Source organism: Homo sapiens, chromosome 10 (genome assembly GCF_000001405.40).
Source record: "Homo sapiens chromosome 10, GRCh38.p14 Primary Assembly".
In the NCBI taxonomy this organism is placed as follows: domain Eukaryota; kingdom Metazoa; phylum Chordata; class Mammalia; order Primates; family Hominidae; genus Homo; species Homo sapiens.
Genome location: NC_000010.11, coordinates 69,485,228 through 69,503,889, shown reverse-complemented (window position 1 = coordinate 69,503,889; position 18,662 = coordinate 69,485,228). Strand labels below are relative to the sequence as shown.

Genomic DNA, 18,662 nt, shown 5'->3' with positions numbered 1-18,662 from the left:
GACTACTGATTAATTTAGGCATAGGGAAACCTGTGGTCACGCCCTAGACCTCATCAAACCCCTCCCCAGGCAGGCCCTAACTCACAGGCTGCCGCGGGCACTTCCCATCACCACCTGTGCCCCGCAGGGTCTCCTTCTCCAACCACCAGGGAAGAGAGTGAGACTTCCTGGTCCAGCCCATGACCGTCCCCCCCAGCCCCGCTGCTCTACATGTAAGTGAACGCTGCCGTGAGTGCTGCAGGCGCCAGTGATGACTCAGGAGGGCAACAGCAGAGCCCCCAGCGTGCCCTCTGGTGTCACATTTCCTGGGTCCAGATCTTGCTCTGCCACTTAGGAGCAGAGCCCAACCTTAGGTGGGCTGCTAAGGAACTGGCACGCAGAGGTACTCAATACATATTTGTTAACTGAGAAAATGAATGAATGAATAGGTTGTGATGATCACAGAACCCACCTCCTAGGGCTGTTTTGGACATAAAGTGAGATACACATATAAAGTGCTTATCACGGGGCTGGGCACATGGAGGAGCACAAGAATGCTGGCTGGCGTGATTTGTTCACAATTCCAGCCCCTGCAAAGGAAAGGGAGGGTGTCTTCTCTCCTTCCGAGAGAGGGTTGGGCCTCAGATGTCATCTAGGTCATTCTAAATGTCAGGGCTTGATGTGCAGGCAAGACGACCTCCCTCGGTTTAGCTGGTTCTCCAGGTAGCCTCAGTCCCAGCCATGCCCAGTGCCCACTGGGCATTAGTCAGCCAGTGTTTTTGGCCCTTCCAGGCCATAAACACAACCCCTATGGAGAGGGTCAGGCCTGGAGAGCAGGTGCACGGGCACATGATGGGAGTGAGTGCTTTCCATCTCATTGGTTCATTCATTTGTTCATTGAACAAATATTAACTGAGCACCTATTGCATGTCAATCCCAGTTCTAGTCACTTGAAATACAGAACAACAAGACAAAGTCCCTGCCTTCATGGAACTTACACTGTAGAAAGGGAGATAATGAACATAACAAATAGGTAAGCTGCATGGTACGTAGGGAGGTGACAAGAGTGACTTCACTGGGCCAGCTCTGGTGACCTCGGGGGATGAGTCTCTTAGCACACAGGCAACTGGCAGAGGCCTCTCTGGCATCAGAGCCCAGAACCCTTCTCCAGGCCCAGGGGGGACTCACCTCACCCTGCCAGGAGAGCCCCTCACCAAGGGGTGAGGGGATACGATGCATCCATAGTCTTTCCAAAAGTAAAGCCTGCCTGGGTTTACCTGCCTGACCATAGAATCGATATTCTGCAAGAGGCTCTGCTGAAGTTCACAGGCCCCAAGACCAGGGTCCAGTAGCCTCTTCCATCCTGCACGGGGCCACAGGACAGGAAGTCAGAAGGGGGACTCCTGGGCAGCCAGAAGATCACAGCAATGTTTGTGTGTGCATCCTCTCACCCTGAAAAGACTGAGCAGCTAATGGGGACAGGGAGAGGGGCCTTCGCGACAGGCCCCCAAGGGGTAGCCAACAACAAGGGAGGGGAGGTACGTGAAAATTGGTCCCAAGAGCTCAGCAGGCACAGCAGTCTGGAGCCATTTAATGTAGAAGCACGCTGCCCTCTGCACCAACATCTCCGAGGGATATATCCTGGTATAACCAGATTTTACAGCCCTATGTGAACTTCTATGGCTCAAATCCTCTATTGGAAGCTCATATAAGACATTTCTTTTAAAGCTGAGTGTTAGGGAAAAGGTTACTTTCCCTGAAGAACTGGTATGTTCTGCTGGTATGTTCTGCTGAACAGTAACAATGTAACAGACCATGTCTCCCTTTTCCTTTTGGTTGCCAGGAAACTCTAAGCCAGTGGTCTCCAACCTTTCTGGCACCAGAGACTGGTTTCAAGGAAAATAATTTTTCCACAGGATGGGGTGCGGGGGGGTGGGGGGTGATGGTGTCGGGATGAAACCATTCCACCTCAGATCATCAGGCATTAGTTTGATTCTCATAAGGAGCATGCACCCTAGGTCCCTTGCATGCACAGTTTACAATAGGGTTCACACTCCTATGCGACTCTAATGCTGCTGCTGATGTGACAGGAGGTGTAGCTCAGGTGGCAATGCTCCCTCAACCTCTGCCCACCTCCTGTTGTGCGACCTGGTTCCTAACAAGCCACTGACCGGTACTGGTTCATGGCCTGGAGGTAGGGGAGCCCTGCTCCAAGCCACCAGACACGAGGCTCAGCTCCTTTTCAGTGAGTCCATGAGGTCCTGAGGCTTAGATAGCAGGATTTTATATTTTTCTCCATCATCTAGGCCTCCTATCTGAGAATACAATTCCCACAGTCCTGATTTTTAATGCTATTTTAGTTTTTTACACTACATATTTCCCGTGTACTCATTCAAATCCCAGGTTGAATAGTACAGTGTAAAATAAATAGATCTGGACACAAATCAACCAGTTCTATGGAGGAAGCGAACGCCCTGTTTCACATTTAGAGAAAATCATCCAGGTGTGGTGGCACAGGGAGACTCAATGGTCATGTGTAACACAGGGTCAGATAACCCCGGCCAGGGGAAGGCTCCTCCCTACCTCAGTGCTCTCATTCAGATGCTGTCTTTAGATTCTACCCTATCTGCAGATGATGTCCGTGTTTACACCCCTTGCCTAGTCGTTCCCAGAACTCCAGACTCCTATATCCAACCGCATCTTTGACACCCCTGATGGGATGCTGAACAGGCTCTCAAACCCCCCACGTCCACGGTGAGCTCCTGGTCACCCAGCCTGCCTCCTTGCAGTCCTCCCCTCTCAGGCAGTGGCAGCCCCGTCTTTCCTGTGGCTCAGACCAAAACCTGGGTATCCTCCTTGATTTCTCTCTTTCATTCATCGCCCACATCTGCTATGCGAGCAAATCCTGTAGGCTTACTTGCAAAATACAGCCAGAATGTCACCACGGTTTGCCACTTCCACCACCACCACCACCACCCAGCTCCAAGCATCTGTCTTCCCCTCCCTGGTGCAGGGATGCTGTGGGGAGCCCTTAGGTGTCAGCCCCCTGCAATAACTACTTCATGTGATCATTAATTTTATATGTCAACATGACCAGGCCATGGGATACCCAGATATTTGGCCAGACATTATCCTGGGTGTCTCTGTGGGGGTGTTTCTGCATGAGGCTAATGTTTAAATCAGCAGACTAAGTAAAGCAGATGGCCCTGCCCAAGGGGGAGAGGTCTCATCTGATCAGGGAAGGCCTGAACAGAACAAAAGACTGCCCTCTCCTCAGTGACCATAAGAGAATTCTCCCTGCTTGGCTACCTTCGGGCTTGAACTGAAATGCTGGCTCTTCCTAGGTTTGAAGCCTGACCAGCCTTTGAATGGGAACTCCACCCTCAGCTCTCCTGGGTCTCCAGCCTGCCGACTCACCCTGCAGATCTTGGGACTTGCCCGCCTCCATAATTACACAAGCCAATTCCTTATCATCAATCAATCCCTCTCTTTCCTCTTGCTGTATTAGTCTGTTCTTGGCTGAACAGAGCCAGCAAGTCCCTTCTTGGGTGGACCACTGGACTCATGCAATGCCTGGTCAATGTGGGTGGGAGTGTGAAGGCCTGGCCCCCTCACCCCAGTAGGGGACAACTCTGAAGGGCTGTCCTCATAGATGTGGCTGAGGCCTCCAGCCGAACTGAGCTGAGGCTGCATCACTGCTCAACTCCCTTCATTGCCCAATCCCGCTTCTGGCTCCCACTTCCACAGGTGTTGATCCAAGAGCACCTTCCTGGACAAGATGACCTATGACCCCTGGATCACTGCATATCAGCCCCTAACTCTATCCCTGCATCTAGCATGTCCCTCACAACAGCCAGACTGATTCTTGTAAAACCAAGTCAGAGTGCCCCTCTTCCATGCAGCCCTGTATGGTCCATCACTCAAGGGTGCCCCACAGTCCTGCCTGTGGCCTTCGGGGTACCCATGACCTCCCTGACTCCACCTCCTACCATCCTCCGCTGTGCTCCCTCTGCTCCAGCCACTCTGTGCATTTCTCAAACGCCCTGGGGTGATTCCCACCTGGGGCCTTTGCACAGCTGTTCTTGCTGCCAGGAATGCCCCTCCCCCAGACACCTTCCTCACTTTCTTCAGAGCTTCACCCAGATCCCGCCTTTCTCAGTATCCCAAACTGCAATCCTCCATGCCCTACTTTCTTTTTCTACTCAGCATTTATGATCCTCTATCTTTTACTTATTTTGTTTGTCAGTTTTCTCCACTAGGATGTCACCTCCTTGCGGGCAGAGACTTTGTTTGCTACACCCCCAGAACCTGGAAATGTGTCTGGCATAGAGTAGGTTCTCAGCCAATATTTGTTGAATGAATGAATGAATGAATGAATACAAGTTTGGCTTCCACATCTCAGCTTAGGTATTCAGATGCTGCTGCCCTGGGTGATGAGGTTCAGGATCACCCCACGCAGGCCTCTCTGGAAACTCTGCTACTCCTCAGCACCCCACTTCCCAGAGAACTACCCTAAAATGGCAGCTAACACTTCCAAACAAAGCTTCCCTCCTGGCCCGGCCTTTTTTAGAGCTAGTGCACTTGGCACTGGCTCTCTGACTCATGGGCGAGGCCCCCACCCGCAGCTGCTCAGTTTACAGAATCCAGCAGTGGGCACAGAATGGTGGCAATGTCAGGAGAAAAACTTTCCATGACTATCTGGGCCATGAGTAATTGCAAAGCTCTCCACCTCGTTCCAATCCTGAAACAGTTTCTGGACACATTTGTCAAACACAAGGACTGATGAAGCCTTTCACTTAAGCGCTGACAACACAAGACATCATCCCAAATGACCAAGGTGACAGACCCGAGAGGATCGTGCTGGGGAGAGGAAGAGGATGGCATTTACGTCACCAGACCCCCTTCCAAGCACTCTGCTGCTGATGATCACCAGGACCTCAAGGCCAAAGACCAATGGAGATGCCCAAGGTGCAGGTCCTGCCTGCCTCCACTAATGCTGCAGAGCCAGCTACCCCCGCTAAGCTCCCCTGGCCTGGGCACCTCTCCCTCCTGCCCTCACCTGGCCTGCACAGTTCTCCAGAGTGTAGCTCAGGCAACAGCTGCCTGCACTTCATCCCAGCCCTGCCAACCTTGGGCAAGACACCCAGCCTTTGAGTGCCTCAATTTCCTCATCTGTAAAGTGGGTAAAATAACAGTACATACCTCACAGGGTTGTCGTGAATACTAAATGAGTAAATACCACCAAAGTGCCCAGAGCAGGCCTGCACAAGGTAGGTGCTCAATAGATTTTAACCAACACCACTAAGAAAGACATGGTCTCCCTACCCCCGACCCCCAGAAGCTCCACTTTCAGGAGCCCTTGAGAATCAGGAAAGCCTCCGCTCTGCCACCAACTCCTACTTCCCTGCCATCCACCCACACCACCCATCTTCAAGTTGGGAAGAGAGAAAAGAGAACATTTATACCACCTGGGGTCCCCGACAGCCCCCCAGTCCCCACAGGAGCAGTGTCTACCGTGTTCCTGATGCAGCAGGTGTAGGGCACCCCACAGGCCAGGGGTCCAGGGGCACTGCAGTCGTGGTACTGATTCTTGCTCCAATCTCGGTAGTCCTCCCCGCCACAGCACTTGAACTGAGGGAAGCAAGCAGGAAAGAGGAGCTGCCGTCATCGCCCAGGCCCTGCTCAGACGACAGGAAGGGGCCCTGTCAGGAGACGGAGGCAGTTTATTATGTGGGTCACCCTGGGGCAGGGAGAGGCTGTACACTTTCAAGTCAGAGCTGTCAAAGTGTGGCATGGCTGCCTAGAGGGTAGTGAACCCCCTGTCACTAGAGAGGTATGGAAGCCAAGGCTGGGCTGCCTCTTGGTGGGATATCAGGGTAGTGACTAGGCACTGGGAGGAAAGGTCCTTCCTTGACAACTGGCCTCCACTTTCTTCATCTTCGTGTCCCCAAATGCAGGTGCTAGGCTGGAAAAGATGGCCCTTAAAGTCCCAGAGACCAAGCATGATTCTGTGAAAGTCCCTGCACCTCAACCAACCTTCGCACCCACCCTAGGAGCCACCCCGTCCAGCTCAGCTGGCCCTGCCCTTAGCAAGGAGAGCACCCACACCTCACAACCTGCCTGGAGCTCTCCCCTTAGCCGAGCCCCTCCCTGCCTCCCCTCCCTGCTCCTGTAGGAAGTAGTTGGTAACCCTCCTGATGGCTGGTATGTGCCTGGCATTGTCCTGGGCACTGGAGAGACAGGGTGAGCAAAAGCAAGGCAGCCCTTGCTCAGGTGGAACACATTCCAGTGGAGAGACAGAGAGTGAGCACTGGATGGAAAGGTGCTGTGCAACCTGGAAATGGAGAAATAGGGGGAAAGTGGGGAGGGGCAGCTCTAGGTTGGCAGGTCATGAAAGGGCTCTTTGTAGAGAGGATATTTCATCTGAAACATGGAAACAGAAAGAAGCCAGACGACCCATGCAAAGGCCCCACGCAGAAACAAGCTTGTATTTCAGCAGCAGGTGCGGAGGCCAACAAGCCTGGAACAGAGAGAGTGCAGAGCATGAGGATGAAAGGGCGGCACAGGCTGGACCATGCAAAGCTTTGCCAGCCAGCTGAAGCAGGGAGCTGGGACTGGAGGGCTCAACCAGGGCTGCAGTACACGTCCTGGTAGCCAGACACCTTTCAGAGTCCCCACAGTGCCCCTTAAGCCACCAGGTTTTGGGACCTAGAACTGTCTTTCTGCAATGTAGTTCAAAGGGCATTTGTCTTGCAATGGAACAGACCCAAGGTCAAATCCTCAGACCACCACTCCCTGCTGTGCAACCTCAGGCAAGTTGGTCAGCCTCTCTGAGCCTCAGATGGTTGTCTGTAAAGCAAGAATAAGGATGGCAGCTCTGCACAGCTGAGCTGTGATTACATAGAGTGCCATGCATGAAGCACTCAGCACTGGACCTGGCACCAAGCAAGTGCCCATTCAGCATTAATCACCTCCTACCTCTATGCCAGGAGAAATGAAATCCCCAAGCCAGCTAAAGGCTGGTTCCAATAAAAACATCTCACTCCACCCGGAGCAGAAGTCAGCTCTCCCAGCCCAAGCTGGCAGGCACATCCCTGGCAGAAAAAGACCTTCCAGAGGCTGCACCTGTTGTGACTGAAGAGAAAGTCTGGGCCAAGGGAGCGGCCACAGCAAGTGGCCCTGCATGTGGGGAGAGGCTAGTCCCCACTGAGAGCTGGCACAAGGATCCAGGCCAGCTGAGGCCCCCAAGATTATGTCCCAGGAAGTGCTGTCCCGGCTGAGTGGGCCTGCAGCCCTCACTCTACTTGTCCTCACCCAGGAGAACATACCAATGATCCCCACAGCTGGCACTGTGGTCTCACCCTGTGCTTGGCACTGTTCTAAGCACGTCTCCTGAATTAAGTCAAGGTAATCCTCATGACGACGCCCCAAGAGCTCCTGTCATTATTCCCCTTATGTAGGTGAGGAAGCTGAGGCTCAGGACCAAGTGAAGTTGATGTACAAAAGCCACCCAGGACAGCAGCTGGCCCTACCACTGCCATTATTATTATTATTATTATTATTATTATTATTATTATTATTATTATTATTGCACCAACAGATTTGGGTGGACCTAGAGGGGAGAGATGGTGTCCCAAAAGGAATAGGATCATCATCACATTCAAGGAAGTGTCATGAAAGTAAGAGAGGCGTCTGGTTCACTGTCCCATATTTGGGGGAAACTGAAATTAGTGAAGAACTTTCTCCCAATCAGGGATGTCTTTAACTTGACAAGGAGTGAGTTGTCACTGAAGAGACTTGGCAGAGGGGGCTTTGGACTGGGGTAGGTTACTCCCCTTGAGGTTGCTCACACCTCAAGGAAGGAGGATCCTTGCCCATTGGAGGGTGGTGCCCTGGGACCCTGCAAGGTTGCTTGTAGCAACACCTGACTTTGTTTTATTTGGGGGTATGGGGCAGGAAGCCAGTGTAACTGGAGAGGAACAGAAGGGTGTGAAGGTTTTGGGTCAGGAATGTGGGCAGAGGACTGGCTGAATAGGTTGGGCCCTGGCTTCCCCATCCTTGGTGGGCCATCCATGCTCACTGTTGCCTCCCAATCTGGCCAGCCACCTGCTTTGGGAATGGATAAGTCACCTGGTCCCTCACCCCATCTTCTTGAGCAGGGGCCTGAATGGGGGGCTAAGAGCACGGGAGGCGCATCTCTACCCCAAAGCGCCTGGCTCACCTTTTTCTGAACAAAGTCCATGATGTTTTTGAAGTCCAGATCATCATAGTAGTTCTCAATTCCTCTTCGAATGTTGTCGTTCAGGAAGTCAATGGTCTATTCAAAAGGAGAAATTACAAAGGAAAAGAACCACACACTCCCGGAGTCCAACCCAAGGTTTTCCAGAAGCCTGGATGGGTAGAGAATGCCTTGTGCCAATGCAGCTCGCGCCCAGCCAGCATGGAGCCCCCTCCACTCCCCACCCTGGATGCCCGTGACCTCCCTACCCACACATCCTCCCCGTGCCTCCAGTGTTCATCTGATGCCTGAGTGCCTGTGCTATGTCCCAGCAGGAGTAATTCACTCCACTCCCTTTGCAGACCAGACAGCCCAGGCCCTGAGAGGCTGGGGCCGTGCTTGGGGACACACAGCTCTGATGCCGCCATGCCTGAGCTGAGACCTGGCTGTCCTGGTTCCAGGCCCAGTGCTCTTTCTACCGCCCAGGGATGGGCCCACGCTGGAATCTTCCCTTTGCCCTCCAGAGCCCCTCTCCACACTCCTCCACCATCCAGCCTCTTGTTTTACAGATGAGGAGCTCGAGACTTGGGGAGGGAGTGAGGTCACAGAGCAGGCTGGGTGGGGTCTTGCCAGGACTGGAATTCAGGTCTCCTGACCTCCCTCATGGGCTGTTCTCCTCATCACTGCAGCACTCGGTCCCCCTCGGCTAGGGCTGGGACAATCCCTGCCGGGAGGAACATGGCAGGCCGCCCTCTCCCAGTCACGCTGCGCTTTCTGGATCAACAGCCCGGCTGTTGTGCTGAGACCCAGAAGCACAAAGGGCCCCACAGTGGGAAGGGGCGGGGGCAGGAGCGTGGGCAGCCCAGCTCACTGTAACAATCGCAGCTTTCAGAGCACGGAGGTCGAGTATCAGCAGAGACTGGGGACGAAGGGGGCATTCTCGGCTCCGGTGCCAGACTGAAGAGCCAGACAATTCCCGGGGGTGGCACCACAGCGTACGCTGGGACAACAGGATCCTGGTTCCAGGCCCCATCGCGGCTTACTTCTCCTCTCTGGGCCTCAGCTTCCCAACTGTGAACCAAACCCGTAGGCCTATCTTTAAGGTAACTTCGAGCTCTGAGAATCAAAAACCAAGTCTCAGAGGGGCTGTCAAGCCTCATAATCAAGGACACCTCCCTACAGCCACCTGGGCCTCCGCTACTTCTTTTAACTTCTGAGCCTCTGTTTGCTCACCTGCAAAATCAGGAGGAAAACACTCTCTGCCTCATAGGGATGTTGTGAGATTTAAATAAACAAAAGCTGTGAAGGTGTTTAGCAGGACACCAGGCACATTGTAGGTCCTGGTGTTATTATTCAAGATTTTTGTCTGTTTTTAAAGGAGACAAATACTCTATGGTACTACTTCACACCCACGTCATTGGTGGAAAACAAATCCCGTGGGAAACCGAGGCCCCAACTCTTGTTCAAAAAACTGACTGCAATGGAGGCAGCCTCTGAGGCACGAGTCCTGGCCAACCCCACTCTCACAACACCCTGCAGCCCAGAGAGCGATGTGGCTAGTCCGAGGTTGCCCAGCACACCACTGGCAGAGAGACGCTGGGACCAGGGTGTCAAACTCCCAGCCTGACACACTTTAAGGTGCTAAGAAACCAAGGTTCAGGTTTGGGGCCATCTCCCAAAATTATCTCCAGGATCAGGAAAAGAGGAACAAAGACTGCAGCACCCACCTCCTCCCCGAGCCTCGCTCTGCTCAAAGCCAAGGTAAAGAAGGAGATGGAGGCCTGGCGCGGTGGCTCATGCCTGTAATCCCAGCACTTTGGGAGGCCGAGGTGGGCAGATCACCTGAGGTCAGGAGTTCGAGACCAGCCTGACCAATATGATGAAACCCTGCCTCCACTGAAAATACAAAAATTAGCAGGGCGGCCTGGCGCAGTGGCTCACGCCTGTAATCCCAGCACTTTGGGAGGCCAAGGCAGGCGGATCACAAGGTCAGGAGATCAAGACCATCCTGGCTAACTCGGTGAAACCCCGTCTCTACTAAAAATACAAAAAATTAGCCAGGCGTGGCAGCGTGCGCCTGTAGTCCCAGCTACTCGGGAGGCTGAGGCAGGAGAATCGCTTGAACCTGGGAGGCAGAGGTTGCAGTGAGCCGAGATGGCACCACTGCACTCTAGACTGGGTGACAGAGCAAGACTCTGTCTCAAAAAAAAAAAAAAAAAAAAGGAGATGGGCTCGGAGAAACTGGCCTTCGTGGCCAGAAGGAAAGTCCTCTGCTGATGATAAACAGCAGCTCTGGAGCAGGCCTGGGATTGCAGAAGACTGGAGTCAGCCCCAAGAGAAGAGAGGAGATGCAGGCTCCTGTGAGCAGCTGTCAACTCACCAGCCCATGGCCCTTCGCGGACCTGGCACTGGCCCCCGGGGCAGAAGTTGGGTGGGAGCATTGCCTTCCAGCCGAGCAGCCTGGGCAGAACAAGGACTCTCTTGGCCCCAGGCCCACCTCCCAGAGGCCCCCAGGTCACAAAGCTTTTCCATCCTTGGGTGCCTGCTCCTCTGGGTGATGAAGGGACAGGCCAGCTGGCTGGGGTGTGGTTGGGGGTGCCTAAAAAACAGGATACCAGGGTGGGGCCAGTCTGCCACCCAGGGTGGGGCAGGGGAATGAGCTTACAGCACTGAACGACATGATTGGCTGAGCTACGTACTCATGGGGTGCCGCCAGGGTCAGGGCCTTGCCTAAGGCCACACGTGGGGAGGTTCCTCCCGGGTGGCTTCCCCCTACTCTCAAGGCACCACAGACACAGTCCTGGCCCACCATGTCCCTCTGCACCTACCCGGGCCCACTGGCCCACTTACAGCACCCCCACTGGCCACTGTGCTGTTTGGACTCTCCCAGGGCTGCCAACAGGGTGGGATGAAGGTGGGAAGCCCAGGGCAGGAAGGAGGGGAAGTGGCAGAGTAGAGGCTGCTCTGTGGCTGTGGGGAAAGGCTCTGCCTCTCTGGTGAGCAGCCCCAGCCTGCCTCCCCAAACCATCCCGCCTCCCCAAACCATCCCGCCTCCTGGGCACTTTCCAAGGCTCGGGCTTCGAGAGGGGCCTGGAAAAATTCGGCCTTTCATCTGGTAAGCTGAGCCCTGTTGTTGGGGGAAGGGGGGCCCTGCAGGAGCAACAGATGTCCCTGGGCTTCATGGACAGCAGCTGCCCCCAACCCCCATCAGGGAGCTCTTTGAGGCATGCTGGTTCTTGCAAGTGTGCACCACTTGTATGTGTGTGCACGTGTGTATGTGTACCGGGGAGACGAGGACACTGAGATGGTTCCTGTGCTGTGAGGGGCGATGGTTGGGGGTGGGTGTGTGTGAGAAGATCCCGTGAGGCAAGCTGGCTGTGCAGTTTAACTGTAAAGTGCTATGCCGCCGTTGACAGCACTGGTAATGTTCCGAGAGACCAGGGGAGCCACTCAGAGGACAGGGAAGAGAGAATTCTAGCTTCCTCTGCCATTCCCAGATGCCCAACATACCCAGTGCCACTGCCCCCACCCCATTCCCCTCCAAACCAGGCCATGCCAGCAGGGGCAGCTCCAGTGAGGACTAGAAAACCAGGCTAAATTAAGCAAAGAGTAAGCAAACATCAAAAGCCACAAGGTTTGAAAGCATGTTGTTTAAAGCACCAGAGAAAGCTATGAAGAACTATCCTTTCTAGCTTTGCCTTTTAAATCTAGTTTTTATCTGAAGCCTCCACATCACCCCTCTCTCAGGGTTTTTAAATGAATGAGGAACTGAAGGGGGTGAGGCATGTGGCGGCAGCTCCTCCAACACAGAGGACAGAGGGGTAGGAAAAGGAGTGGAAGGGGCGGCCGCTAAAGCTTCCTACCAGGCCAGCTGCCTGCACAGGACCAAGAACCTCTCTGGGGAAGGAGTGGCCCGGGGCTCCCTCAGGCTGCCTCTGGCTAACACCACTTCCATGTAAGCCTGAGACCTGAGGCTGGGAAGGCCCTGCTGCTGGCCTAGTGCAGGCCTAGCTCTCAAACTTGGAGGAGAAGCTGGTCATGGTGGTCCCTGCCTATAATCCCAGTACTTTGGGATGCCAAGGCAGGAGGATTACTTGAGTCCAGGAGTTCGAGACCAACCTGGGCAACATGGCTTGACCTCATCTACACACAAACACACACAATTATCCAGGCATGGTGGCATGCACCTGTAGTCCCAACTACTCAGGAGGCTAAGGTGGGAGGATCGCTTGAGCCTAGGAGCTGAGGCTGCAATGAGCTGTGATTGCACCACTGCACTCCGGCCTGGGTGACAGAGCAAGACTGTCTCAAAAACAAAACAAAAACTTGGAGGAGAGGTGCTTGGCCCAGGATTTTCCTCCTTCATTTGCGCCTGGAGCCAAGCCATCATCTCAGCCTTTCCCAGTCCCTCTAGAACGGGGACTTACCCTCATTGCCCCCGGACCCTAGCCTCTGCTCCAGTCCCAATAGAAGCCCAATGTGACAATCAGGAATGGAAGAGAACCCAGGGGACCAGGAGAAGGTGGGAAGGGGCGTGTGGAGTGAGCATCTGCCAGACCCTTCCTCAGACCTGGCCAGGGTCACAGGTTCATCTCCATGGTGGGAGAGGGTTATGTTTCAGTGTCCTTGGGACTGGGGGCTCCAGCCTCACTCCCTGACAGCTTTCCACAGTGGGGCACACCCGTGGGGGAGTCTGGCCAAACCAGCGAGAAGCACTCTCTACTTCTGTAAGGCCGACCGCTCTGCTGTAAGTGGGAAGGATACACAGCCGGCCCTCCACATCCACGGGTTCCGTACCCGCAGATTCAAACAACAGTGGATGGAAAATATTTGGGAAAAGGAACAATAAAAAATAACACAACAGTAAAAAATGATACAAACTAAAGAACAATACAGCATAAACAACTATCTACACAGCATTTACAATGTATTAGGTATCTGGGTTTTTTGTTTTGTTTTGTTTTGTTTGAGACAGAATCTTGCTCTGTCACCCAGGCTGGATGGAGTGCAGTAGCACGATCATGGCTCACTGCAGCCTCTGCCTCCTGGGTTGAAGCAATTCTCCTGCCTCAGCCTCCCTAGTAGCTGGGATTACAGATGCCCACTACCACGCCTAGCTACTTTTTGTATTTTTACTAGAGACAGGATTTCACTGTGTTGGCCAGGCTGTTCTCAAACTCCTGACCTCAAATGATCCACCTGCCTTGGCCTCCCAAAGTGCTGGGATTACAAGCATGAGCCACCGCACCTGGCCCTGTATTAGGTATTTGCAAGTAATCTAGGAGTGTTGCAATTTACAGGAGGATGTGTGTAGGTTATATTCAAGTACTACACCATTTTATATAAAGGACTTGAGCATGTGTGGATTTGGGTATCCTTTGGTCAGGGGCATGTTCTGGAACCAATCCCCGTCGGACACCAAGGGAAAACTTTATATATTCAGGTGTTGGCCGAGAGAGCCATGGTGCTGCCTACTTTCTCCTGCCTCTGACCTCAAGGTTGTGCCCAGAGCCAGCTTGTGCCAGTGCCATGATAAAATAGGCAGGCTGGTGCTCCCCACTGTTCCCTGACCACAGTGTCAGGTAGGACCACAATGCCCACTGATCCTACCCTGGTGGTAGAGAGAGGAGGCCTGGGATGGGGGTATAGACACACCCGCTACTGCCCGGACCCTCCAGGTGTCCAAGCTCAGCTGCACCTGGCTGGAAGCATGAGGAGCTGCCCACCTCTGACACCTGACACCCTCACAAGAAGCCCCAGAACAAGCTGGGACAAAAGCAGGTGTCAAGAGGGTTGAGACCCACACAACTGGGGAAGTCACTCAGGTCCTCCTCCAGCCCCTGGCTGGGGTCAGGGGTGTCGTACTTCTCCTGCTCCTAAGGGCTGCTCTGTGCCCAGCTCCCCAGTGCATGGCCACTTGCCCCTCTATGAGTGGAGAAGCGGCACCAGTCCGACTGTCAGGCCATGCCTAGCAGCAGAAATCTTGCCTGGGGTCAGAGCCAGGGGGAGTTTCCTCCTTATATCCAGGAGTCTGTTTAGCTTTCAATGCCTGGCTGTGGCCGTGGTCTGTGCACCTCGCTGAGAACCCAACATGTAATCCTTAGCCTAATTGTTGCGGGAAGTCAGGGACCCCAAATGGAGGGACCAGCTGCAGCCACAGCAGAGGAACATAAATTGTGACGATTTCATGGACATTTACCAGTTCCCAAATAATACTTCATAATTTCTTACACCTGTCTTACTTTAATCTCTTAATCCTGTTATCTTCGTAAGCTGGGGATGTATGTCACCTTACGGCCACTACGATAATTGTGTTAACTGTACAAGTTGATTTTAAAACATGTGTGTTTGAACAATATGAAATCAGTGCACCTTGAAAAAGAACAGAATAACAGCGATTTTCAGGGAACAAGGGAAGACAACCATAAGGTCTGACTGCCTGCGGGGTTGGGCAAAAAGAGCCATATTTTTCTTCTTGCAGACAGCCTATAAACGGACATGCAAGTAGGGAAGATATCGCTAAATTCTTTTCCTAGCAAGGAATATTGATATTAACACTCTGGGAAAAGAACTGCATTCCTAGGGGGAGGTCTATAAACGGCCGCTCTGGGAGTGTCTCTCTTATGCAGTTGAGATAAGGACTGAAATACACCCTGGTCTCCTGCAGTACCCTCAGGATTGGGAAACTCCACCCTGGTAAATTTGAGTTCAGACTGGTTCTCTGCTCTCGAACCCTGTTTTCTGTTGTTTAAGATGTTTATCAAGACAATATGTGCACCACTGAAGGTAGACCCTTATCAGTAATTCTGCTTTTGCCCTTTGCCTTGTGATCTTTGCTTTTGCCCTTTGCCTTGTGATCTTTGTTGGACCCTTATGAGGAGTTTCTGATTTTTCCCTTAGAAGCATGTGATCTTTGTTTTCCTTTTTGCCCTTTGAAGCATGTGATCTTTGTGACCTACTCCCTGTTCTTGCACCCCCTCCCCTTTTGAAATCCTTAATAAAACTTGCTGGCTTTAAGGCTCAGGTGGGCATCATGGTCCTACTGATAATGTGACGTCACCCCCAGCGGCCCAGCTGTAAAATTCCTCTCTTTGTACTCTTTCTCTTTATTTCTCAGCTGGCTGACACTTATGGAAAATAGAAAGAACCTATGGTGAAATATTGGGGGTGGGTTCCCCCAATACCTAATGACTTGTTCTGACTTTTCATAAGTAGATACTCAGAGTTACCAGGGCCCATGGCACTGGAGACTGAACTTGTTACATTGTGGCTCAGAGAAATCCTCTTGATCAGGGAAAAATGGAATTGGGAAATCACCTCCTCCTGGAAGCTGACCTTGATTGCTCCTCACCTTTTTCTCCATCATACACTGCCCTTCCTACCATCATCAACAGCCAGGCCGCTCCTCCCCCATCCCCGCCACTGGCCTGACTCCTGTTTTACAAAATCATATCACATTAGAGTTGGAAGGGATATTATTTTTCTTTTTGTGATATTTTCCCCTTGATTATAAAAAAAAATTGAGAGCCAAGGAAAAATATAAAGGGGAGGAGAAAAATCACCCTAGTCTCATCCCTCAGAGGAAATATGAGTTCATATGCTGATATTTCCATTCCTTTAAGTCTTTTTGTAGACCTATTTTTTTCATTGTAGCGATCTTACTGCATTTATAATTTTGTATCTCATTTTTTAAGTTTTCAAGATGACGAATCATGGCTTGAGCCTCCAAACAGCGGAGAGGCGTCAGTGAGGACCCTTCCTGGGCTGCATACCAAGGCCCTACCCATGAGGGGACACCACCCAAGGGGAAGGAGCACCCTTCACGGACTACAGCATCTGCAGGGTCTGGGGATGATGAGAAATTGTCAGGCCTGACCTCAGGCCCACGGAAACCCAAGCTGTGAGCACTGAAGGGCCCCTGGATGTTCCGCCAGCCAAAGCCTTCATCTCAGCCCAGCTCCATCACTTGAAAGAAGGAGGTGATGTTCTGTTGACCTACAGGGCACTGGAAAATGACAAATCAGATGGCCTCTGCAGCAATGCACTAGAAACCAGAACTGCTGCCCATCATTGGAGGATAGTTTATGAAGGCCGTGGACGCTGCTGACCACAAACTGGACCTGGGCTCCAGCCAGGAAAGTGCTAACCCTGGAAAGCCTCAGGGCGGCCGGGAGCTCTGCTGGCTGCACAGAGAGGCAGCCCCATGGGCAAATGGAATAAAGATCTCTCCCCTCACAGCTGCTGAAAAGTAAACCAGCATCCTGGATCTGCCAGCTCAGAAGAGAGGCTCTGACAAATAGAAAAGAGGGACAGGGAGGGGCAGGTAGCAAGTCAGGACTGGGAAGCATTCCTGAGGCACCTCTGCCTTGCTGTGTGCTCTCGGGGGAATTCTTAACTCCTGTGTGCCTCCATGACTCCATTGATAGGATGGCCACTTGCCCCTGTATGAGTGGAGAAGCCACTTCAGTCTGACTGTCAAGCCATGCCTAGCAGCAGAAACCATGCCCGGGGTCACGGGCTGGTGGAGATTCCTCCTTATATCCAGGAGTCTGTTTAGTTGGCCACAAACTGGACCTGGGCTCCAGCCAGGAAAGCACTAACCCGTAGCCCCTGGAAAGCCGCAGGCTGGCCAGGAGCTCTGGTGGCTGCACAGAAAGGCAGCCCCATGGGCAAATGGAATAAAGATCTCTCCCCTCAAGGCTGCTGGAAAGTGAACCAGCATGCTGGATCTGCCAGCTCAGAAGAGAGGCTCTGATAAGCAGAAAAGAGGCAAAGGGAGGGGCAGGTAGAAAAGAGGAAAAGGGAGAAGCAGCCTCATGGGCAAATGGAATAAAGCCCCTTTCCTGGGGCTCATAAAACAGGAAGACCTCTGGATTCCAGGTTTGTAGACTTGCCTGTGGTTAGGTCCCACTGCAGGAGGCCCCAGCAGAACTGGTGTGGTCCCTGCTCCCACCTGGGCTGGAATCACAGGCACTCCCATGAACATTTTCACAGGGCCAGATCCTGGGCCATCTGAGAGGTCTGCACAACCCAGGGTGTGGGACAGCACCTGCTGCCTTAAGAGCAACTGCTGAAAAGAAAGATAATTTGGCTGGGCACAGGGGTGCATGACTGTAGTCCCAGCTACTTGGGAGGCTAAAGCCGGAGGATCACTTGAGCCCAGGGGTTCGAGGCTGCAGTGAGCTATGACTGCACCACTGCTCCAGCCTGGGTGGCAGAGTGAGACCCTGTCTCAAAAAAATAAACAAACATTATTTTTAAAAAAAAAGATAACTTGGCTCACAGCTCTGACGCATGTCCCAGCAGCAACTGTCCAGATGCACCAGGACCAAGCTGTCTGGGGTAGGGAGGGGTACAGGCCAGGCAGTGGACACAGAGAATGGGGCTTCTGCAAACATGTCCTGCTCCTCAAGCCCCACCTATGGCAGCAATGCAGGATGAGGACAAGGAAGAAGATTATGGGAGGAAAGATGGAGCCCTGGGTTGGAGTCAGCCCTGCTCCACCACCAGCTTCTTGTGGGGCCTTGACCACTATGTGCCAGAACCGTGCCCAGTCCTTCACAGGCATTCTCTCATCAGATCTGTGAGCTAGGTGTCCCCTAATAATCCAAGAGGCCAAGTAACTCGCCCAAGGTGGCACAGCTAGTATGAGGTGCGTACATCCTGCCTGAAGGAGCTGGAGCCGGGAGCCACGAGAACCTTTCTGGCTCTAAGGGGCCCGGATTCTGCAAACCCTGCCAGGGCCAGGATGCCAGGCATCACCCTGTCAACCTGCCCCTCTCCTCACTCCTCTAGCCGGCATAACAGCCTCTGATGGTACTGCCTCCAAAATATACATCAAATCGCCTTTTTGGCCCAGGCCCACTGCCTCCACCTTGGTACAAGCAATCTTACCCCATTCCCAGGATGACCCCCCACAGCCTCCCAGTTGGGCCCCTGTGTACACCCTCAACTCTTCACTGTCCATTCCCCAACTCAGCAGCCATGGTACAATATAAACTGGGTCACATCGCTTCCCACATAAGACTCTCCAAAGGCTCCTGTCACCTCTAGAAAAAACTCCAAGCTCCCAACTCATGGCCTACAAGGACCTCTGTGATCTGCCTGGCCAGCCCTTTCGACTTCACCTTCCACCCCTCTCCACCCCACCTACCCTCAGCCACGTGGCCTCCACGCTGTTTTGCTCACATGCTAAGCTCATTTCTGCTCAGCTTCCCTCTGCTGGGACCTCACTCAGCTGGCTCCTTTTACCATTTCAGCACGGGCCTCCCATCTCCTCCCCAGGCGCTCTCATGTCAGCTTGGTTCATTTTCTTAGTCGCTGCTTTACTTGTTCAGTGCCTGTCATTCTCTTTCAGCAGAATGAAAGCTCCATGGGGGTTATCTGCCCTGCTCACTGCCATACCCCCAGTTAGCCCAAGGCACCCACAGTGGGTGCTCCATACACACATGGCCGATACACAAAT

The 18,662-nt window shown here is 53.0% G+C and overlaps 1 protein-coding gene across 11 annotated transcripts in view, besides 1 other annotated feature; it reads right to left on the bottom strand.

Annotated features, from left to right (window-relative positions):
• Window positions 1-18,662, bottom strand: part of TSPAN15 (tetraspanin 15) — a 98,044-nt gene that overhangs the window by 45,619 nt on the left and 33,763 nt on the right. For 5 of the 11 annotated variants that reach the window (XR_001747072.2, XR_007061951.1, XR_007061952.1 and 2 more), the window contains 2 exons: window positions 8,201-8,296; window positions 5,494-5,681 (listed from right to left, as the gene is read on the bottom strand). Coding sequence is in view for 7 of the 11 variants with exons in the window: in XM_017016010.2 (XP_016871499.1) it covers window positions 5,494-5,681; window positions 8,201-8,296 (284 nt within the window). In the remaining 4 variants the exon portion in view is untranslated. Of the gene's footprint in view, window positions 1-5,493; window positions 5,682-8,200; window positions 8,297-8,639; window positions 8,885-9,068; window positions 10,415-18,662 lie in introns of those variants that run through there. The other 6 variants (XM_047424930.1, NM_012339.5, NM_001351263.2 and 3 more) reach the window with 4 other exon arrangements.
• Window positions 14,731-14,931: a silencer, noted in NCBI's record as "peak1006 fragment used in MPRA reporter construct". NCBI's record gives its function as "represses an SCP1 promoter by STARR-seq MPRAs in K562 erythroleukemia cells {active_cell/tissue: K562}" and the evidence as "EXISTENCE:reporter gene assay evidence [ECO:0000049][PMID:32103011]".